Below are 24151 nucleotides of genomic sequence, written 5' to 3'. Positions count from 1 at the left end.
CAACTAGTATCTTGCTCTACAAAAAAAAAAATATATATATATGTGTGTGTGTATATATATATATATGTATGTATATATGTGTGTGTGTGTGTATATATATATATACACACACACATTACTAATGTTAACAAAATATCAATGAGATCTGTGGAGGCAAAAGGAGAACTTTATTTTCTGGAAAAAATATATGCAGATTGGGGACGCACAGTCTTTAGTACAAGTGAACGTGTGCTCTTTGAAGAAAAAAAAGAGGGTCTGGCTTAAACAGGGGAAGTTCTTGCCCAGGTTCTTAACCAGGTCCATTTATGCATATAAAAAATTCAAACTTTTTCTGTTCTCATTGCTCAAAATAGTCAGGACTTGATTGGATGATGTCCAAGCCCCAAACCAAAGTCTCCGTCAGATGTTTCTTTCAAATGGCTGGTAGTGGGGATAGGGAAGATCCAGCCACAATTCACTTTGGCACCAATAACAGAAACTGATTTGGCTCGACCGTAGCAAGGGAGGTCCTGTGACACTTTTATAATATCTTTCTGAGAACACAGAGTGTGTTAACCCTGCCTCACCCAGCTATGGCTGCCTGGTTTTGCTTTAACCTTGAGCCCTTTAGTTAGCCATGGGGGAGTCCATTTTGTCTGTTGGTCTGGGGCGTGCTTTGACACTAATATAGTCATTATAAAAGCAGACTGTTGACAAAGATCATTAGATATTGTGTATAAACTTGAAATTTAAGCCTTGGAATCTCAAATACTGTCTTCACCTTGTGTTATATTTATTCTAACATACTAATATAATATATCAATAATTTCATATACTTATTATAATTGTTCTACCTGTCCACAGTTTTGGAAAATACGCCTTCCACATTGTACCAGAGGAATCCATACAAAGCTAACTTCCCTTTGTCTTCGGTGTAACTCCTGGCTCTTTAACAAAACGTAAGACTCTTCACAGCCTTGCAAACGCCCACTCTCCATCTCCACCTTCAAAGCTTCCATGTACTTCATCACTTAATGCTCTGTCATCACTTAGGATTTGATAGATCCCTGCACACTTTAGGCTATTTTATTCGTTTGCCTTTGTGCCTTTGTGTAGTGTTCTTCTAGGCAGCTACTCCGACTCATTGTTTAAGATTATGCTTAGACATCACCTGTTCTAGAAGCCTTCTTTAACCACTGAATCAGAAGCTGAACTTAGTGTCATTCACCGATGTTTCCTTTTCACACTATTACTTCTGTTACTTGAAGTGAACATGCTGCATTCTAATAATCTGTTTGAGTGCCTTTTTGTTCCCAAAAATGTCAGCTTTTTGAGGGCAAATATTGTGGCTCATTAATTCCTGGCATCCCTTTGGTATCTTGCTTGATCTATGGCGATTACTTGTGACTGACCTCACTAAATGTTGGAAATATTTCCATTAGGTGGTTTAACCTTAAAAATCTTTGAACCCTCCAAGTTTCCCTTGTAATATCTAAGAGTGTTTGATCTGTACATCAGTATTTCTATGTGAATGCTATTATATAACATTGAGAGATTGTCCTTTCAAATCCTAACCTTCCCTTTCCCCAAGATATTAGCTCACCCACTGATTTTCTGAATTATTCTAATACCAACTGCATCTTATTCAGGCACTTGCTGGTAATGAACTTCTTAGACATGCTGAGCCCACTAATATCCTTTGAATTCTTATGTTCTCCCTAAGCCCTCTTTCTGGGTAGAGTCTCAGAATGTTCATCAGCCCCCACAGTGCTCAAATTGATCTTCATTGACATGACCAAAATCATGCAGAGGGTACTATATTAGATAATTGAGAAAAAAACAAGAACTTGAAAGGAATATTTAGTTTTTAATATGTACTAAATTTTTCTCTTGTTACTTTATTCCTTAATCTGAGTCAGTTATTCTTATGGCATCACCTTTCAATTTCCCATTGTTAATTGCACTAAAATTCTATTTATAGAACCTCTTTATAACAAGGGATCTCAGGTTGAAGATAACAGTGAAGGCTAGGTCACGTGTTGTCATGAATTGTCCTGTGTATTGTAATTATCTTTAAATATCTAACTATGGGAATGATGACGTCTTGTGCTTAAAGAAGTCACTTCCATCCACCCAGTCATATTCCAGGCTTCTACCAGCAAACAAATGCTCACATCTTCCTACGCTTATACAATGTGCCCCCTCAGATTTGTAGCCAAAGTCAAGTTTCCCTTGAGTAGCACACAATTCTGCATTCAGGAATATTTTTTTTTCTTTCTACAGTCCTGGAGGGGGTGGGAGAGTGGAGAAAGGGGTTGGGGGGAGGGAGAGGAATATAAATACCCAGGAGAGAATATTGCAATGCTTTAGTTGAGACTGGCAGGTATGAAGAGTTGTATACTGCACATAAGGCAGAGATTTCATTTTTATCCATTTTTGTCACATTTTCTTTAGTGAACAGAAGGAGGAAAAAGAGAGAGTATGACTTTGTACTAATTAGAAAAATAAAGATAAAAATAGACATTTTGAAATTGGACATTTTATGGGCACCATTTGTTCTCTCTTTCCTTTCTGTTTTTATCCAGCACTACTTTTCCTCTGGTTTCTTCCCCTACCTCACCTCATTTTATCAGCTGTCTCGAGCTGCCTCTGACCTATCTCACAGTCATGAGATGTGGCAACCACAGGTGTCAGCAGCTCTTCACAGCTGGTAAAGCCATGCTTTCACTTGATTCCCCCGCCCCGCCCCATTAAAAACAGAAAAAAAGAAAACCAAACACCTGTTTTGACTCTTGTCCCTTCCTTTTCTCCAATAGCAAATTAAACTGACAAGCTGGCTGGACAGTGGCAGAGGGGACTTAGTTTTCAGTCAAATTATTTTTAAATCTCCTTTTTGCCAGTGGTTCCTCTTCCTGTCATTTCTTCCATGTATGTTTTTGACAGCTGGGATTATTTTTATTGCACATTCCAGTCTCTGCTTTTGAATAGCTACATTTTTTTTTTCTACCTCCCAGATTTAACTAGCAGTAGAATGGCTATGTCTGACCCCTGTATTTAGCTATTTCCCCACAGTTACAAATATCTACATTGGATTTCATTCATTCTCTAAGAACATAAATATCCATAATATGCCAATGCTGCCAGATGTTGGGGCCAAAGATATGAATAACACGTGGCTCCTGTTATTGAATAGATCAGTGTATAATACCCAGCTAGACACAAAACAGTTGCCTATGGAGAGATGCCAAGAGACAAAACTGTAAATCCTGAATGGATAATCCTTTAGGTTACACGTAAACTGTCACATATGTCCTGCCCTAATCCTTAGGATGTTCCTTGTACATTTCTAGATGATAGTAGGTAGGGTCTTTGAAGACTGCTTTGTCCAAAGAGTATTTTTTTTTATCTTAAGATCGTACTTTTTATAAATATAAAAAAAACCCTCTGCATTTAAAAGTAGAATGATTTAAAAAAGAAGAAAAACACAAGTTGGGGGAAACTGTGCTAATTTTGGATTTAAATGAAATCAAAATTAGAATATTGCGTAAGTTTCCATATGTTAACCCTCACAAAGACAGGGATAACTTAGAAGAGGAACTGTCCCTGAAGCGTGGAGGGAAAAGGGATGGCTTGGTGAATCCTACTTGCTATAGTTGACAATAAAGGAACCACACGTTTGAGCTCTGATTATTTCTGTTATGGAAGCTAAAGAGAAGAATTTAGCAACAAAATATTAAATTTGTTCATCATCTACTACATGATGATATCATATAAAATATTTTGACAAATATATTATTTCATCCATATTACCATTCTGTAATGGTAATATGCACCATTACATATTAGTAGCCATAACATATTAGATCATAATGTGTAATATGAGATATGATCACTCCCCCTTCTTTCTTTCTTTTCTTTCTTTTTTTTTTTTGACTGATGAGAGGTGGTGGTTAGGGAAGTTTAATGGTAAATTAACTGGTATGGACTAGAACCAGATTTTAATGGAAGCTTTTTGACTTCACTCTTCCCACTAAAGTAATTTCTGAAGGAGTTTTCAAAAATATCAGTGGTGTAATCTAGGAGTATGCAATTAACATGCTATGGGTCATTCTAATGAAAGTGGTCTAAAAGTGACATAATGCCCTTATATTTTGACTTATCTTTTTTTATTATCATCAGTCACCTGTTAGGACAAGTTACACTAAACACTGCATTAATCATGGGACTATTCAAGGTGTTGTACCAATGTAATTACATAGGCCAAGGCTAAACTTTCAGTGAGTTTACAATCACAGGTGTTTATAGAAGTTCAGAATTATAATATTTAAAATGTATGAACAATTAAGTGTGTCAGGCCCTGTAGCAAGCTCTTTACATAGACTATCTCATTTAATTCTTAAAGCAGCCCAATAGATAGGTATTGTTTCTATTGCTGTTTGCAGATGAAAAATTTGAGCTTCATGTAAACAACTTGTCATGTATCCTTAAATTATGTGTAGCACACTTAGAATGTAGAGTCAGAAAAATGTAATGATGTGTACTAGTAGGTCACAAGAGAAAAATAAGTACATTTTATTAGATAGAAAAACCTTTCTTTTTAATGATGGAAAGAGCAGCACCATGGGAGTTAGATGTCTGGATTAGAGCTGCTAGAAGGAAAATTCTAACCTTCTTTGATTAATCTACTTATTAACTATGTGACCTTGGTCACATGATGACTGCTATACTCAATTTCCTATTCTCTAAAATGTGCATAGTAATAATTGACACCCATTAAAAACACCAATGAACACGTATATCCGCATCATCATATCCTCATATTTCCAAAAGTGATATTTGTTCTTGTTAAGTAAAATTGCAGGGAGAAAAAAAAATCTCCAAACACTTATTCAAACAAAAAATGTAATATTTAGACACACAGGATAACTTTTTAAAATTCATATTTTATTATATGTCTTCTAATACTTCTTCATAGTTAAAACTTAGCCGCTCCTTTTTCATATGCCTCATTATTACCCAGCCATAAAATGGCTAACTTGACATATTTTCTTTGAGGAGCAAAGAAAATAAAAAGATGTAGGCCTTAGGCAAAGTATTGTATTAATGTACTTAATGAATAAAGAACTGAAATTATTTGCAAATGACAGAAAATGGCCTATATCTTTAGAGTAAATTGTGAAAAATTAAATTGGGTTTACTCTAGGCTAACAACTTCATACTTCTGTAGTATTTGAGCAGAAGAAATTATAGTAAATGATTTTTTTTAACTAGTTCACTTTTAAATTTAGGATTTATTTTTAATTCTGGCTTTCTCTTTTCTTCGTACTCTTTCCAGTACTTGATTGCTTACATGTGTTTTTTAACTAGTGGCCATAAGACAGTGAGTAATGTGGCATAGCAGTGGCGGAGAAAAGTCAGAAATGACCTTCTTCAGGGGCACCCTGGCTTCCCCTGCTGCCAACCAAGTGAGCTCACACTGAGCTTGACCCAGAAAATTGGTCAGGTTAAAAAAGAAAGGAGAAAATGTCTTCCTTTTTTTTTTTTTTAATTCTTTCATATATGTATTTTTCAGAACTTGTGCTTAAAAAGAGAAGAAAGTTTTAAAAGAATTTAAGCCTAAATTTCCTCTTGGATGTTAATTTCAAAAAAGAACTTCAAACTAGGAGAAAGATAGAAGAAAATTAAAAATGAAATGGTCAAGCTTATTAATATGGCCAAGGACATTTACTAGTGCAAGTGAATGCTTAGCATGTTTGCTTCTGGGAAGAACCCAGGTATTTAAATGACACCTCCTTTTTTTGAAAAAACAAATTGCTGCAGTGTTAATATGTACTCCACTTTTTTATGAAAGGAAGTGATTATTTATTTTAGATGAAAAAGTTTGACTTTTGGAAGGAATGGTATTAGACCTTATTAACAGGAAAGAGATGTGTAAAGAAATATAACCTCATTAAAACATACAAAAACAACCAAAAAAATGCACTATTAATTTTGACCGTGATCTCTCACTTTACACCCTCATCAAAATGTGGTTAACAATGTACTTATTCCCACTGTGCTCTGTGAGAAAGGTAAGGGTGCTGCAGAGAATATTCAGCTCTGGGTCAAAGGGACTTGTTAAGGGCAGTCTAACCTTGTCTTTGCAAGATGCTTCCCGCCCCCCCCAGTTTTTCCTGCAGTAAGTCATGAGAATACATTAGCAGTAGAGATTTACCTTCACATTATTTAGTTTGCTGGTATTCTTATTTTTAGCGGAACTTTTTGGAAACACTTTTATTTTAATGTAATTGTAATATTCTCCCTCATCACATAATTCAGTTAGGTACTTGGCTAATTACTGGGTGCTTAATGTCAAAATGCATAATGGATCTGTAGTGTGGCACCTCTTTTCCTTTCCGAATATCCTAAGCAGCATTATGCTGTGTATTGACCATGAGAAAATGTGAGCAGGACAGTTGGTTTGGTGGCACTGACACTTATAGAGGAAAATAATTCTTCTGATAGAACATATATTACATTTTGTGGTGGAGAATTATGATTATAGCCATTTAAAATGCATGGAATGTTTCTGCTATACCTACGTGGTCCAGAAGGCCTTTTCTATCCTAGGCTTATTTACTCTCAGAACTCCAAATTTACCATGTCATTTTAACACATTCTTGGGGGCTGACAGAGCTGGAAATACTTTCATAGGCTAATGTAAGTGGACACACAGAAGTGCCAAAGTGCATTAGGAAAATAGAAATCTATTCTGCTTCACAGTTGAATTTACCCTTCTCCAGAGACTGAATTTATTTGCATATTTTATTTCAAATATATGTGGGTTACACTGAAAGAGGTTTTAAATTAAATAAATGCCATGATTAAATGACAGACATAACAATGGCAAATCTGGTAGCCCATCATGAATTCTCCTTTTCGTAGGAATTCAAGCCTTTGTTACTTTTTGGTGAAAAAGATACATATTATATAAAAATGAGTAAAATTGTATTAGAAAAGGTTGGCCAGATGAAAAGTATATTTAACATTATTGTATACATTATTAATATGTGAGGATAATTAAAAGATTAATAGAATGAAAATATAGGTGGTTTTATACTGTAGTTGATTTCCAAAATTGATTTTCTTTTTCTAAATATTCTTTCCTGAATCTGTACATGATTGTCTTATGCTAGATATTTTGAAATATTGTAGACACTAGGAAAATTTTACAGGTGATCTTACTATTTAAATAAAAGAAATATGGAAACTTGATTTATGAATAAACAAACATGCATTTATTATTGCCAAGATTTGGAGAGCTAACTCAGCTAAAATGCGCAAAAGCTATTTGGACCAAAATTTTAGAAATACTCTTTTACAAATGTCAAATAAATACAAATCTGGATATGTATAATTATAGAACATGAATGCTTAATTTCAAAATAATTATTAAAAGCTTTGTTATTTTACCGTATTCTTTAAAAATTATAATTTGTCAAGAGAAAGAATATATAGATGGAAGTCATTTCTAATAATGAGTATGTAATCTTTAGGGTTTGTAAGTGTGGCTGAGATTCATACATACATCTTAGTGATTGACTTCTTGAGTTTGTTTATATATAGCGTGGCGTTAAACTATTTTTTATTTGGGCTTGATGGTAGATTGGGGTATTTTGCATTCACTATGCTCTTATTTTGCCTCCCCCACCCTATCCCCGCTTAGTTCTCAGTGTATAATAGTAGAAATATCATAGCCAAAAATAAACATAATAAACAGAGCTTAGGTGCCAAATATGTTATTTTCAACTTTCAATCTTCACTTATGCATGTTTCTATGCCCTTAATTTCAAAATGCCAGGCTAGTGCTTAACCAGGCTCTAACAAAAATGCAAACTGTCAAAGCAAGTACAATAGGAAGTCAGCTGAATGGCATGAAGTTATACCTAATCACCCATAAAGTAGAAGGAGATTAATATAGTGATGTGTAACATGACTACCATAAAATCTATTTGGAGGTGCTCAATAGATAACTTTAAATTGAATTGTAAGATTTCAATTCTTTTGCCTTTGTTTTGCTTCTTACTTTTCAAACATTGTGAGTTTTCAGGCTAATGAAGCCTGAATCTCCAGGATATTGAAATGTATTATGCAGTGGTTCCCTAAATATCATATTCTAAGTCAAAGCATTGTTTTGTGATTTTTCTAAATGTTAAAAACGAAGATAATAGTTATTTTATTTTATTTTTATTTTGCCATACCAAGGATGTTATGGTATATATGTGTGTGACTGTGACCACTGTCTACATAAAAATGTAATGCATAATTTTATTATGTAGACTTTGCTGTTAAAAGTTTGATATTCTAGGCCAGGTACAGTTGTTCATGCCTATAATCCCTGAACTTTGGGAGGCCGAGGTGGGCAGATCACTTGAGGCCAGGAGTCTGAGACCAGCCTGACAAACATGGTGTACTAAAATTACAAAAATTTGCTGCGAGTGGTGGCGCATGCCTGAAATCCCAGATACTCAGGAGGCTGAAGTTTGAACCCGGGAGGCAGGGGTTGCAATGAGCAGAGATCGTGCCACTGCACTCCAGCCTGGACAAGACAGGGAAACTCTCTCAAAACAAAACAAACAAAATTATTTTATTTATTGCTTTCCAGAGAAGAAACACGTTACTGTTTCTCTCTATATATAAATACCTATGCATGTATGTTTAACAAATATATATATATGTACGCATGTGTGTGTGTATATATATATATCAGCCTTTTAATTATATTATGAAAATAAATATATAATTGGACAAAGGGAAGAGAAAAAGAAAGAATAGTGGCTTAAGGCAGTTGTTGATTATGGGAAGTTCAATTGCCCCCATTCTCTCCACACTTCTTTTCTCCTCAACTAATGAGGCATACTGATCTCACAAAATAAAATAAATGTGAGAAAATATATATATCTTTATTTTTCTACTCATTAATCTCTCATTTATTGTCTATCCATTAATCTTTCCTTTTCTCCATAGAAAATGGCTCATGCAAATGAACTATCAATCTGTGGTACTGGGTTAACAGTACAATGCTATCACAAAAATAAATAAATTATTTATAATGTTTCTGAATTAGAGTAAAACATTTTAGTTCCGTTCATTGTAATATCAGGTTTTCTGTACATTGCATTGGCTCTGGGGAAAAGACTGTAGTGCAATTCCTATCAAAGTGCTTTTTCTATGTAAGATTTTATATCGTTTTTATGCCATGCTTATTTACATAAGCTCAACATGATAAGGAAAGTCTATTAGGATAAACAAGTTTAGTTAATATGGTCTAAAAACAAAATTTAATCCTATCTTCTGATAACTTCCTAGATTCCTCCATTTAGAGCTTTTTTTTCTAAGTTCTCCATTTTCTTTCTACCTAAAAGTATCCAAATCTTAGCTTTTTATTTTGTTAATGTCTTTAATTTTACTTGCTATGCCATCCTGCACCTATGTCTTGTGTTTTCCTTTTCCACCAATATTTTCTCCTTGCTTATTTAACTTTTTAATTAAATCCTGCCAAAATCCCTTTAGAGTGGCATTGCATGTTTGTTGGCAGGCTGCAGTGTGCTGTGCTGCTTCAGCTTGAGCTTAGGTACAAAAATGTTGATATTTACAAAGCCGTAAAAGTCAATATTGTACCACCAGAGCAGAACGGCCTCTAGATTGTCAAGCCTAACCTCCGACCCAACACTCAGATAGGGCTTAAAAGCATCAAGGCTTAAAGGAAACCTCAAGCACTGGGACACATACTTTAGGTTATTCCTGAATCAGAGAAAGTTACTAAGGAAGTGAATATCTGAACACAGAATTGAATTTCCTTCCATCTTTTCTTTAAATCACTGTTTTTTGGTTTTAATTTGCTAACCTTGAAAGTGCCCATCTGAATATCTCCTAGTTTTAAGTGCTATGTTGGAGTCACTTTACATGTTAATAACAGTCCCCAAATGTTAATAACCTCCCCAAATGTGTTTATTCATATGCTATCTAAATTGTAACCCATTAGCGGCAATTATTTTTAGTCAGCATAGAAACATGCAACATTTTACATTCGATGTGTCCTTTGCATTGATTTAAGGAATCCATGAGAGATATGTGGTAAATTCCTTGGTGCAATTTGTAAAGAATAATTAATGAATTGCATTTTTGAAAGTTAGTATTGATTTACATTTAAGAGTAAACAATTGATGTGACATTATTGATTAGTAATACGAATAGTAAATTTTTAATATAGTTTCCTCATGTTATATGGTTTTGTTATTTTAACACTCTACCACCTAATTCTTTAAACTCCTGTTGAACATTTTCTCTATAGGCTTTATAATAAAATTCTACCAAACAATTATAATTCTCTTTTACTGTTCTCTAATGGTTATATCTATCACTTCACTGGACATAGGCTATAGATTCTATCATAATTGTGGATGGAACTGTTCCTGCTTAGTTGATATTAGAGTTATCATACTACTTTCTTAGAAAACACTGTTGAATTGTGCTTTAGTCTAGGGACTATTGGAAATTCAATGCGAGAATGAAAAATTAATTAGAAAAGGCACCTTGCTATACTTTAAAATTATTTATTGTGAATTTTTTTTATTTTATAACAAATTTCTCACACCTATGAAACATTCATTAAGATGATAATAATTAATAAAAACAACTTTATTACCAGATTCTCAACTTATTTTCTCCCCTTATTGCATTATAACACAATGTAAAGGCAGGAAGGAAATGAGTTTAAGTCCAGGCCCAAATTAATGTTCTTCCAAAGCCGTTTAAGAATTTTCACATATAATCAAAAAACAAACAGACAAAAACACGGATATTAAACTCTGAGAAGTAGTAGCAAAAAGAACAGCAGATGACTAGAATTTTATTAAAACCCAAAATTTCAAAAGCAAAAATTTGATTTAAGAAAACTGCAAATTCATGTCAACCACTGAGAAAACTTTATAATGAGTTTTCAGGTTGATTTTTTGCAGGGAGACAGGAAAAAATACATGTCTATGGTCTATGTAGTACAAGAGGATAGTTTTCTTGATATGACACTCTTAAGTGAATCAAGAGTATACATGTACTTATTTTAGGGTAGCCTCTAGGAAGATACATTTTTAGCACATTGTATTGGCAATCACTTTTCCATTTTCTTCAAACCCCTTGAAGTTCTAACTTATCACTAGGTTAGGTTACTCTAGCTATTATACTATCTATAAGATTGCATGTGATGTTCGTAATGCCCTCCTTAATTTCAAAGAACTTAACTGGTATCTAGTTGCCCATCTATCATTTATTTTGTTTTCTTCTGCCTTTCTTAGTGCCCATTGTTAATGCTTCTATTTTAATATTTAGCATTTTGTTTCTTTGTAGCAAGGACAAAATATTCACATGCCAGGATCTTATGATTATAGGTCAAATTTGACCCTAAAGAGTGAATGTTAATGTCCATATGAAATTTGGGGAGTTTATTAAAATGCAGATCTGATTCAATGGGTCTAGAATAAAGCCTGATATTCTACATTTCAAGTAAGCCTCAAGGTGATTAATATTTTTGAAATGGCCTGCTTGTCTAAGTGCTACCTGAAGTTCTTTCTCTCATGGCTGAGGAAATCAAGGACATGGACACACCAAGTGTGATGTTAGAGCAGAAGTTTAATAAGGGAAAGAAAGAGAGAAAGCTCTCTGCTGCAGAGAGGGGTCCTGAAAAAATGGTTGCCATTTCACAGTTGAATACAGAAGCTTTTATAAGAAGCCGATGAGGTCTGGGCATCTCATTTGCATAAATCACGAATTTCTGGTAACTGTACCCTGTCCTCCTAGTGCACATGCAGGCCCTTAGCTTGAGTTACTCCATATTGCTTTGTTCCCTTTACTACACATGTGTCGGGGGATGGAGTTTTCCATTGTGGACATGTCTGAGCAAGTCTCCTGGATAGCCTTTCTTATCTATGGGGCTGTGGGCATGTCTCAGGCAAGCTCTCCTTTGCAAGTTCCCTTATCTGTGCCTTCAGGCTGTCCTTTTGTTTGAAAGAACTCATCCAAGGACCCACCCGAACTACCTGCCTGTCAGGTTTTTTCTTTCCTCTTTCATTTTGACTATCTAGATCCTGAGAATATAAAATAAATGACAGTGATAGCGTAAAATAAACAATAGATGCTGCAAAACACTCTCACTTTGAGATGGTTTGATAAATTGCCAATTGGTTCACTGTTAGAAACAATTTAAATGGAAGAACTTTGTAACCTAAGAGTGTAGAAAAAGAATTAATAAACTGCATTTACAAACATGACGTGATGAAAGTGAATGTATTCATTTCCTCTGATATAACAAATATTGACTAAAAATAGAAAAATGTGTTTTAAATTCACAAAGCTAAATATATTATTAAAAATGTAAATAATTCACTTTTCAAATTGTATTTTTGGTAAAGAGTATAGCATTTATATTTTTGAAGTTATTAATGCTTAAACTGCACTACATTTTTTTTTATATTTTGCCTCAACTCTATTTCCTCATTTGTAAAATGAGTATTTTACAGATATTAAATGTGTATTAACACATTTTGTGTGGAATTGGAAATTTACTACTGTGTGGAAACAGTATTAAATGTGATCATATGTGTAATGTGCTTATCAGTCAATAAATGCTAGATTAATAATATTCATTCTAATTATACCCATAACTACCTTTGTCCAAAGTTCAAATTTAAGAAAAATTAAAGGAAGCTTATAGAAAAAACCATCATTCATGATGACTTTTCTGAAATATTCATCACTATGATATGCCAGTTTTCAGAATAAGTTGGAGATTTAAAAGTATAGGATTTGAAGTCTAATTTGAGCCTTGGTTTTAGCATACCTTTCGTAGTGTTATTCTGGGAACCGAACAACATAATGCACATTTAGTTCACAGTACAATGACATACACAAAATAGAGGCTCAAATATGGGTATTACTATTGTAATATGGATATGCATGGCTCAAATATGGATATACTATTATATTCTAAGTCTTCAGAGAAAACAGTCCAATTAAAACGAAGGAAAATAGAAGCAAAATGTTCTGTGACAAAGTAAATAAAGTACTAAACCTAAGGCTGGGTTTTAAGTGCAATGCCTTAAAATCTCAGTAGCATCATTGATAGTATGTAAACAAAGTAAAATGTATGTATGTTTAGTGACTACAAGAGACTCCATGTAAAGTCAAGGCTCCGAGACCGGACAAAAATATGTATGTATATATATATATATATATATATATATATATATATATATATATATATTTGCTTTGCTCAAGATGCAAATACATAAGAATTTTGGGAGTGAGAAGGAATGTACAGTATCTTAAAAATTTTCAGAAGACAGAATTAACAAACCTAAGTGAAAATAGATGCTTGTAAATAGATGAAGAACTTCAGTTCTGATGCATAGATCCATCTGTCATAGTGCTTGCTTATTCTGATATATTTAACTTTCTTAAAACTTCTGGTATTTGTCATCTTCCCAGACAGGAAAAAAATGGGTGGGGAAAGGTAATGTTTCAATTACCTTGAAAAATAATCTCAAGACTGTCTGTGGGAACTAATAGTGGACATTATTAAACATGAAAGGGTTGAGTCAACAAGGCAGGTTATGAAATCCTATTCAAAGTTGAACTCTTTTAAAATAGAAGATATTTTTCCAAGTAATGATGGCCTCATTGAAGCCTGGAGTGGGCATTCTTATATTCCTTTTCAGCCCTATAATTTTGTGATGTCAAAATAATTGAGACTCAGAAAGTACATTTCAGAAATTGACATCTGTCAGTGAGGCAAACCTAAAACCATAGTAAAGCCTGGCATTTGTGTGTTTCATAGATGATGGAGTAGAAGCCAATTCATTCAATCATGTATTCACACATTTAAGAAAACTATATTGATCGTTTAATATGTGCCAGATGACGTGCTAAGATAGATGTCTCACAGATCTTAGAAGAGAATGTTATGTACCTAAATTTATAATCCCAAGTGTGTGTGTATTATATACAGTATCTATAGTATATGTAACTATATATCATATCCCAAGTATGTGTATATGTAGATAAATAATATTCATTTTATATATCAACATTGTATGTAAATATTATATAATACATCCAATATATAGTTGAGATTACACTATTTACTATATACTTATGTATAAAAGAATTAATATATATGAATATATTTATATCTCTATATAAAATGTAAATGCAAGTGTGTATGAATGTAGTGAATGAAAATGTGGAGGTTATGACTTCCTTTAAGCAGTGCTTTGTGATATGAGTAAGAATCTGTGTAGCAAGAGAAGGTAGGTGGGAGTCAGGAACACATTATAAGAAGGAAAAACATGAGGCTTAAAGGTGCATGAGGTATCTTTTATTTGGCCTTAGTGTACTGTGTGTGAGATAAACAATAGCATTATGAAGCTGGAATGAAAAATTAGACTTCTGTTATGAAAGGTCTTGAAGTCTATGCCAGCGATTGTGGAATTTATTTTGTGAGCAGTATATACAGGATACAAGTATATAATAGAATTGTTTTTATTGAAAAAGCCTCCTGCCTGAAATATAGGGAGGAACACAATTAATTAATAAAATACACATTAATTATTGAGCTATATGCCAGGAATCACAAAAATCACTTTACATGCATTATTTGGTTTAATCTTCACAAAACCTTTGAGATAAGTATTATGATTAGCCTCATTTAACAGTTGGGTTCACAGAAATTTAGGGAATTTATGTAAATTGCAAAATCAGGTTGTTGACTTAAAAATCCTAGTGTTTATCCTTTACGTAGAGCCTCTTAGCCTTACCAACCACAATTACAACTCCTGGGAATTTTCTTCTTAGTCAGGGAAAATTAAGAAGTTGTTTCAAAATTGTTAATTTTTACAAAGGATAAATCTATTAGTGTTAATGACTGTTAATGCAAAGCCTAAAAATGTTAATTTTACCTGGTATGACTATAGGTAGAAGGTAGTATGGTGTCAAACCTCATGTACATTTTGGAAATTTATGACTGGCAAAAATGCTGGAGATTATTTAGACTAAATGTAATTTTATAGCTGGAAAGCTGGCTTAGCTCATTGAATATTAGCAATTAGATGAAGAAATAAGTAACTTATGCAAATGGAAAGAAGATGTAACAGAGACATAAACAGGTTATTAAAATATGAATTTGGATGTCAGATTATTTTTTCAGAAAGAAAACATCCAATAAATATTTATTGGAGTCTTAGTTATACAAGGTACTATAATAGATTCTCAGGGAGACACAAAAAATAGTGTTGTTTCTGTCGCCAGGAAGTTCACAGGAGAGTTGAATATTGGACTAAAACACCAAAGAGCTAGACTATAGGGTAGAAAGTTGTAAGCATTATTTGAAAAATGAAAACAATATTTTAGGTGTATTAGATGATGCTTCATGGGGATTGGACATTTGCGTTTAAGTGAAAAATAACATTTGTACTTGGACGTTTTGGGGAAAGGGCATTGCAGTATAATTGGTGCTATGATATGTTTACACTTTGGACTACAACAAGTAGTCTGTTGTGTCTACAATTTAGGAAGAATAATGAGGAGATAGTAGTGGAATTTAAACTTGGGAAAGTAAATTGGAAGTGAAATCATGGAAAGCCTGGAATAGTATCTTAAGAATTGACTTATAGAGACCTAACTAGAATTGGAGAAATTTATGGGTAAAATGAGAACTTCGATTTTAGTCATGTTGAATTTTGAATAATGGCAGGTTATTCAACAGGTAGCTTGATACATACAACTGAAGCTGAGAATAGAAACAAAGCCTTGATATTTAGTTGGGAACACATCAAATAGAGGTGACATTAATACTGTGCAATTATATTATCTAGAAACAGATTGAAAAAAGGAGAAGTAGAGCATAGCTCTCTTAGTGAATTATAGTAGGGAGGTGGAGGGAGCAAACTGGAGGAAATTTCGGGCCATATAGAACCAAAAGGAGGAGTATGTTTCAAAGAGAATCAGGGAAAACAGACATTGGGAAAAGGTCAATTGAGAGATCATTGGTAACTTTAGAAAGCACCTTACTCAGAATGTAAAGGTCAGAGGTAAAAAGTGAAAGGTGTGTACGACAAAGAAAGTTCTCGAAAGCAAAGATCATTTTATTTATGGTTATGTCTTCTGATCCTTTTATAATGCCTGAAACTTTGAAGGCATGAAAGATTACAGATTTCCCCAGGTAAGCATTGATGGGAGCAGGCAAGAAGGAATGGGATCAAGATCATATGTTGAGGAAGTAGCCTTGACAGCGAAGAGAGCTCCCTGAAGGGATAGTTGAGTAAAAAATCAGAAATAGTTTTGAGATGGTGAGAAAGAAAGATTGTGAGAGTATCCAACTTAATGACTTTGATCTTTTCAATGGCATAGAAAGTAAAGTCATATATTAAAAAATGATGGAACTGATTAGGTCCTCAGGGGTTTTAGAAAAGGTTTGAAACATCACTGTGAGGAAATAATAGGCACAAATGAATAGGCAGAAGAAATAGCAAGTGCTTATTTCTAGTAGGGTAGCATATGATCCTAACTTGTCTCAATGAAAATAATTGTGTGACTTCTTATAGCTATACTTGGCTGCAAGTAGGTGAATGTGTATATTTGTTTATTACATAAAGAGATAGAAAGTATGTTTTATCTAAAAAGTATGAGCAAATTGGCTTGATTTTTACATACATCCATATTTTTATAATGTTGTAAATGTTATTTCATATTTATTATACATCCAGTGGTGCAAAAAAATCTACAAGGGGCTACACAGAAAATACTTTTTTCTCCAGGAAGTTTCCAATGTGGTGTGTACTATTACTATTTTTTCAACAAGTTAATGCTTATTCCTCTTTTTGTAATTTCAGAGTTAACAATTGTACGTAAATAGATATCCCTAATTCTGAAGAATATTCGTTCTCTAAAATAATTCCAAATGATTTAAAAAAATTAACAAAACTAGCTACTAGGAAGAGTAAAAGTAATTTTTTAGAATTTCATGAACATCATTAAAAACAAAACTTCAATTAATTTCATTTAGAAAATTGTTCTAGAATATCATGTTTGTGTTGTAATTGGTGACTGATGGAGTGATCAGAGAAAGAAAATGTTGATTGCCTTTGGCATTAAAAAATTAGTTTAGCTTTCTGGCTACAATTATTCATACATGGAAATCGTAAGTTTTATCTTTTCAGCATTTTCTTGAAAATGTTTGAGGCCTGAGTGATGTTGTAAAATAATGAAAGTGAATTGAGATGTATTTAAATTATTGTAGTGATACTTCGGAATAGACAAATTTCAGTTAATCCTTAAGTACAGTGAAGATGAATATGGACAAACATTGAAACTATAAGAATCTCTACCATTCTTCAGACACATGTCTATTTAGCCTGTTGATATTTCTCTGATATATGTGCCTGTATCTGATTTTTTTTTTCCCAAAAACCCTTTCTCTGATAGTGGCTCCCTATACATGTGTAGAATAGCAATGTTATTCATGGTATAATCAAAATACATAGAACCGTTTTTTCATACCTCCTTCATGGGCTATTTCCTGAAGACATGGCACGAAGGGGTTTAAGTTGTCAATTCTCCCATTAATTGAGTTGAGCTAAAGACAAGGGAAGATAACCAAGCGAAGCCTTTAACATCTATGATCACTCTTTCCAACAATGGATAAATGCCAGCTCTCAAATCCTCTGATCTGAGTGTGATTTAACTATTACCACGGAAAATTTTCTGTGTGGGTAAAAGCATTCATGGTACTTGCTTATACATTGAGCTCACGAAAGACATTTGATCTTAAATAGTGTTCTTTCAGAAAATAACTCTTTCAGGAGATTCCGTCAGTAGAAGAGCTTTTTTTTTTTTTTTTTTTTCCTGTAAATTTGGAGATTTAGGTCTCCCTAATGCTTATATTGCATTGCCATACATCCTGGCATACTGATGCCTGGCAGGAAGTTTGATGTTAAGTGCCAGCTGCAGATGCTACTACACAAGTCAAGGTAAGAGTGAAAAAAATTATTCATGAGGCCTTATGTCTCTGGGGAACTCCTAGACTGCCATACAGGAAGTTCACAAAGTAATATCATGGTTCTAGGTCTCGAACACTGAAATAAATACTCAGTCTAAGTTTGCATGATGTGGGCACTTTACTGAATAACTCCCTTTTCTTCCCTCCAAGAGGTATAGACAAAACCATGCGGAAAATAAACAATGACACACCAAACTTGTGTATAATAATACTTGACTGTTCTACTTCATGGTGGGTTTTTAATATATAAGATATTTGGGATTTAAATTTTTGTGATGAGTGTTTTTTTTTTTTGTTTGTTTTGTTTTGTTTTTGAGACAGAGTCTCCCTCTGTCGCCCAGGCTGGAGTGCGGTAGTGCCATCTCGGCTCACTGCAAGCTCCGCCTCCCGGGTTCAGGCCATTCTCCTGCCTCAGCCTCCCGAGTAGCTGGTACTACAGGCGCCCACCACCACGCCCGGCTAATTTTTTGTAATTTTAGTAGAGACAGGGTTTCACCGTGTTAGCCAGGATGGTTTCCATTGCCTGACCTCATGATCCACCCGCCTCGGCCTCCCAAAGTGCTGGGATTACAGGCGTGAGCCACCACACCAGGCCGTTGTGATGAGTTTTATACCTCATATTTAATGTCTTATCACCTTTAGGCTCATAATTCTAAAAGACATGGTTGCATTTCCACAATAGCAAATCAGAAGGCTGCCATTTGGGAAGTAATTGACATTTGGGAAGTAATCTAAAAGGCAGGCCTCATGAATTCATTTTTTTCATACATTCCTTAAACAACAGAGTTGTGCTGGATGTTCTATTAGGTCTTGGGGATAAGAAGGCAGGCTCTGTACTACTTATAGACTTATTAACATTGTAGGTGGTAAGAAGAGTGGAGAAATTATAACAGTTATTCCTGGGGCCCTGGTTGGACATGCCTAAATAAAAAAGAGCTAAGAAATGGTAGAATTTGGAGAGTATCTCCAGGGTTACTCTCTCAAGTAGAAACTGTGGTTAAGATGATCACATTGGAGTTAGTTAAAATTTCAGATCTACCACTTGATAACTGCATGACTTGGAGGGAATTCTTTATTCTTTCTTAGTTTAATTTATTCATCTATACAATAGATACAATAATTCCTGCTTTATAATGTGACTACATAGAAAACTAAGATAATATGTTTAACACATTTTGTGGCACGCCCTGAGCATCTCCTGGATAGCTATTATCATTGTCACTATTATTATTTCTCAGCTATTCTCCAACTTTTATTTTCTTACAGGAAGAGATAATATAATAATTTTAATAAAACAATTCAGTTTTACATAATGTTTCCCTTTTCAGAGATTTGAGCCTTAGAGTTTCCATTATTTTAACGAGTAAATTTTGTCAACTAAATAGATGAGGTATTATTTTCTCAAGTTTAGTTATGCATAGAGAGAGACATGGAGAGTGTAAATGGCTTACCTACACTGCCAGTCGGTGGCTAACTCCAGCTAAAAGTTGGCGCTCTTAAGTCTCCTCTCTGTTCTTTGTCCATTACATCATGTTCACTTGCTTAAAAATTACTTTGCTACCTTCAAAGTTCTTTTAGATATTCAAAGAAAGCTATTAAGGGAATATATACTATTCTGAAATTTTATAACTTGACTTAGCTCCCTGACTAGGGTGTGGAAAGTATTAATCTTCAATTGAGAAGAATATGAATTGTCAAAGTTATCCACTCCAAATTTGGCCATGAAGCAACCTGCTGAGCAATTTGCCTCATAGAATATACTATGTACTATATTTTAAAACTGCCTCAGGAAACCTCTGAAAGCAGATGATGGCTCTCTTTTCGTTTGTTTGGAAATCCGCAATGAGTACATATACTCATTTACTATGTAGCATGATAATAGGACAGGGAAAACCCATATTTCCTTAGTCATCCTTATTTTATATTGGAGACGTCTATCAAGGTTAATTCTTTAAAAGTAATTTAAACTTTACTTTGGTCATTGTTTTTGGTATTCAAAAAACAAACACGCAAACAGATTTTAAAAACTCAGTTTTCTAGCTGCAACTCAGATTTCATTCAGAGCTGCTGTTTAACTGATTTATTATTGAATGGATTTGAGCCACCCATCTTTGTGAACTTCCCAGTACAGAAGGTACTAGCTGTGTGTGGCTACTGAACACTTTTAGTGTAGCTGTTCTGAATTGAACTGTACTATAACTATAAAATTCACGCCAGATTTCAAAGACTGCATATAAAAAGGGTTCCATAATACCTCAATAACTTTATATTGATTACATGTTTAAATAGTAGCTTGGATATATTGAGATAGATAAATTACATGACTAATATTTATTTCACCTTATCTTTTTACTATTTTTTAAGTTGGTCACTAGAAATTTTCAAACTACATGTGTGGCTTACATTCTATTTCAACTGGGTAGTGCCATTCTAGATATGTAATTATGAACATTATAAGAATACCATACAGTACTGAGTCCTTCAAATATTTGACATTTTTAGTGCTGCAATATTTGTAATCTTGTAGCAATGTGTATATAAATTCTTCTTTAATTTTTATACTTATTTTTAATTATCCCTGAAATATTATTGTAATTTAATTTATATGCTAAAAATGAATATGATGTATATGAAATACACAATTTTTAAATAATACTCATAATATTAAAGCTGTTCTTCAAAAATGTCACTTAAATCATCTATATTGGTAGTAGACTATGATGTTATATATTTAATAGTAAACTCATGCCCGGGCACAGCGGCTCACACCTGTAATCCCAGCACTTTGGGAGGCCAAGGAGGGCAGATTGCCTGAGCTCAGGAGTTCGTGACCAGCCTGGGCAACACAGTGAAACCCGTCTCTACTAAAATACAAAAAAAAAATTAGCCAGGTGTGGCAGTATGCACCTGCAGTCCCAGCTATTCGGGAGGCTGAGGCAGGAGAATTGCTTGAACCCAGGAGGCGGAGGTTGCAGTGAGTCGAGATCGTGCCACTGCACTCCAGCCTGGGCCACAGAGCAAGGCTCTGTCTCAAACAAACAAACAAACAAACAAACAAATACTATACTCATTCATTCATTTACTGACATTCCATGACTACCTATAATAGGTTAGGTTGGGGCTGTAAAGCTGGGTAATACTTGTTTGTTGATCTCAATTAATTTGCAACCTAGTGGATTAAGTAGGTAAGCAGATATCAGTTAGAGTATAGAGAAGTGTATTTTGATAGAAGTAATTATAAGTTGTATGAGAGTGCAGAGATCACGAGTCTTTCCAGAGGAATTGAAGCTAAGTTTTAGGACCTCTGTGGACCACACAATGCTCTTCAGATGAAGAAGAGGTAAGAGCATTCCAGGTACAGCATTAGCCAAAATACGGAAGCAGGAAAAGTGATCTGTTTAAAATGTAAATGTGTTTTCTATAGCGTAAACAATAGATGTATTTGCTATTGGTGGGAGGGAGTAGTGGTTGAAAGGGGAGAGAGTAAGTCATAAGAGCTGAGATTGAGCCAGATGATACTAAAATATGTGATTTTAAAAATATGACATCTATTACATAGTATTAAGAAGATTATAGAGGAGGAATATGCAACTTGAGAGCTAACTGTAACAGAGGAGTAGAGGGTAGATTTCAGAGAGAAAAGAGTAGTTGTGAATAAATTAATTAGGAAGTAATTGCAATAGTCCTTGTAAGCATTTATGACCACCTGAGCAAAGAAGTTTTTATTTTGAGAAGTTGAGCAGGGAATAAAGAAAATGATGGCTTCTAGAATACCACTCAGTTTTCTGTTCTGAACTACAGGATATTTATTCAAAGATAGGGAATGTAAGGAAACAAGCAGGATTGATACAAGGAAAGACTGTTCAATTGGACACAGTGAATTTGTGGTATCTGTGAATGTCTTCTAGTCATTAAAAAAAAAATATATATATATATATGTATATGCCTACAGATATAGATTGGGAGAGTCATTATTAAGAAATCATTTTATTAATGTGTTTACGGATTGAGCTTTCTCAGAAAGAAAATGCAGAGTGAAAAGAACAGAGAGCCAAGGACTAAGTAAAGTTTTGATGAAAATTAGGAAGTATTAGAGATGTATCCAGAGAGACTTTGTGTAATATATTTTTTAGAATTACTAATGTAATCTGTCGCTTTGGTAGACTAGGACTATTCTAAGAAACAGATGTTTTATAACTTCCCTCAATTATCATCATTTTACCAGGAGTAAATGATGGAAACCACACTATTATCCAAACTTATGTAAATCAAATATAAAAATATATTACTTGGCATGCATTTCATAGCTATAACCAACAAATTTTCCAGACTATCATAAGTTATATCAACATCAGATATTAAGATTCCTCTTAAAGCTGAATGGGAAGAGAGGATGTGATCTTGGATCTTGGAAAGGGTACCAAAATATGTCACTTTCAATGAAAACTTACAAAAGTCTTTGAATAAAAATAATGTATATAGTACAATAGAAAAGAGCAGTATTTTTGCTTACCAATATTAAATAATAATGTTATTGAAGAATTCATAATTGTTGAGGCGCTTCAGCAAACTTGAAGCGTTCTGGGGAGTCAGGTAGCTGTGACAGATGAAATTCAACTTCTCTACATAAGATCAACAACTTTTGGAAAGCTGACATGCTCTTTGTAGATCAAATTATTGCACATTTGGATTCCATGAGAAAAGCAGTATGATACACAGAGAAGACAAATTTCAGCTGCATTTTCATAGTTGATAATAAAAGTATTTTATACAGAAAGAAAAGTAAACCTTTAATCATAAAATAGCTTAATGACTTCATATCAGATAATGCATCCTTGTTGTACATGGTCCAAGTTTGATTATATCATTTTAAGATGTGTATCAGAGATCAAAAAGATTTAGAGAAAACAGCCAGGATAATTAGAATTACTTTGGGATTTACATATGATGAGTGATTAAAAAAACATTAACTGCAATGGTATATAAATGAGAAAATCTAGGCAAGGAGTTTTGACTGAGAGAGTCACAAATGTGAAAGCTGTGATAGAAAATGACTCTGATGTCTTATTTATTCTGTTTCATATTTTATTTAAAAAAGAAGTTTTTTTAAGAGGTTAGAAATATACTGACCAATTTAATAGAAATAATTAGTTGTGGTATCAGTAATGTACTTACTGGTGCAATTTATGGTCACACATATGCTTTATTTTCCCAAAAGTTACAGAATAAGCATGCTGGAAGGATTTTTTTTTAATGGACTTGGGTCATTTTTAAAGATGGATTAAAATTATTAATGACATTTGCAGTTATGTAAGCTCTAGCCATAAAATGCCATTACTCATTTGTTCTACTTAGGCAACACAAAATGCAGTTGCTGGATTGATCAGATCTGCAGCTGGATCACTTACTGGCTCATTAATTTTTATCATATATTGAGTATTCTGACCTGGTACATCAGCTTTTGAAATAGCCACTTGTCTTCTTTCCCTGGGCAAATAGCTACTGGATGCATTTTTAAAATGTTGATCTAATTTATTTTGTTCTCACTGAGCATCTGTGGGAGTGGAAGGCTGGTAAACAAGTGTTTAGGTTTACATGTACTTTGGGAGTCATATCACCTCTGTGTACACTCCTGCAGGATCAGCTTAGGCAAATTTGTTTAGATGGCAAAACAGGTCTTCAGCATTTCACCTCTTTTCATTCCACTTTCCCTTCTCTTTTAGCACCAACCCGGAGGCATTTAGTTTTTGCTCTTGCTTTCACTTGGTAGTCTCAGTGGAAAAAAACATAAAAATAATTTTGTATGCTTGAGGTGAAACAACTTTGTAATAACATTCTTTTGATTTGCTAGTTTTGTGTATCTCCCTAAGTCTACTTCAGAACATAGAAAGCCTTTTTTTTTTTTTTTTTTTTTTTTTAACATCCAATATGATAGAGCTCATTGCCTTGACATCATGGCATGGATATGTGGTTTTTCCTTGCATTCCAAATAATGGATGTTTAGCTGCGTGGCCATAGCTATTTTATGTTTTATTAAACCATATGTCACTGTGGCAGGTGTTTGTTCTCTGTGATTTCTCTAGT

The 24151-nt window shown here is 33.8% G+C and overlaps 1 protein-coding gene across 4 annotated transcripts in view, besides 2 other annotated features; it reads left to right on the top strand.

Moving 5' to 3' along the window:
• Nucleotides 1-24151, top strand: part of NEGR1 (neuronal growth regulator 1) — an 886597-nt gene that overhangs the window by 269631 nt on the left and 592815 nt on the right. The gene's annotated exons all lie outside the window — the stretch shown is intronic.
• Nucleotides 11294-12493: an enhancer, noted in NCBI's record as "MED14-independent group 3 enhancer chr1:72466099-72467298 (GRCh37/hg19 assembly coordinates)". NCBI's record gives its function as "activates an origin of replication core promoter dependent on BRD2, BRD4, P300/CBP and CDK7 cofactors, and independent of MED14, by STARR-seq in HCT116 cells {active_cell/tissue: HCT116}" and the evidence as "EXISTENCE:reporter gene assay evidence [ECO:0000049][PMID:35650434]".
• Nucleotides 11558-12059: an enhancer, noted in NCBI's record as "H3K27ac hESC enhancer chr1:72466533-72467034 (GRCh37/hg19 assembly coordinates)". NCBI's record gives its function as "activates a minimal SCP1, AML or CMV promoter by ChIP-STARR-seq in primed H9 embryonic stem cells {active_cell/tissue: H9 hESC(primed)}" and the evidence as "EXISTENCE:reporter gene assay evidence [ECO:0000049][PMID:30033119]".

The sequence above is a fragment of the Homo sapiens genome, chromosome 1 (genome assembly GCF_000001405.40).
Source record: "Homo sapiens chromosome 1, GRCh38.p14 Primary Assembly".
Classification (NCBI taxonomy): Eukaryota; Metazoa; Chordata; class Mammalia; order Primates; family Hominidae; genus Homo; species Homo sapiens.
The sequence above is the reverse complement of the archived record's forward strand: the minus strand, read 5'-3'. Positions and strand labels throughout refer to the sequence as shown.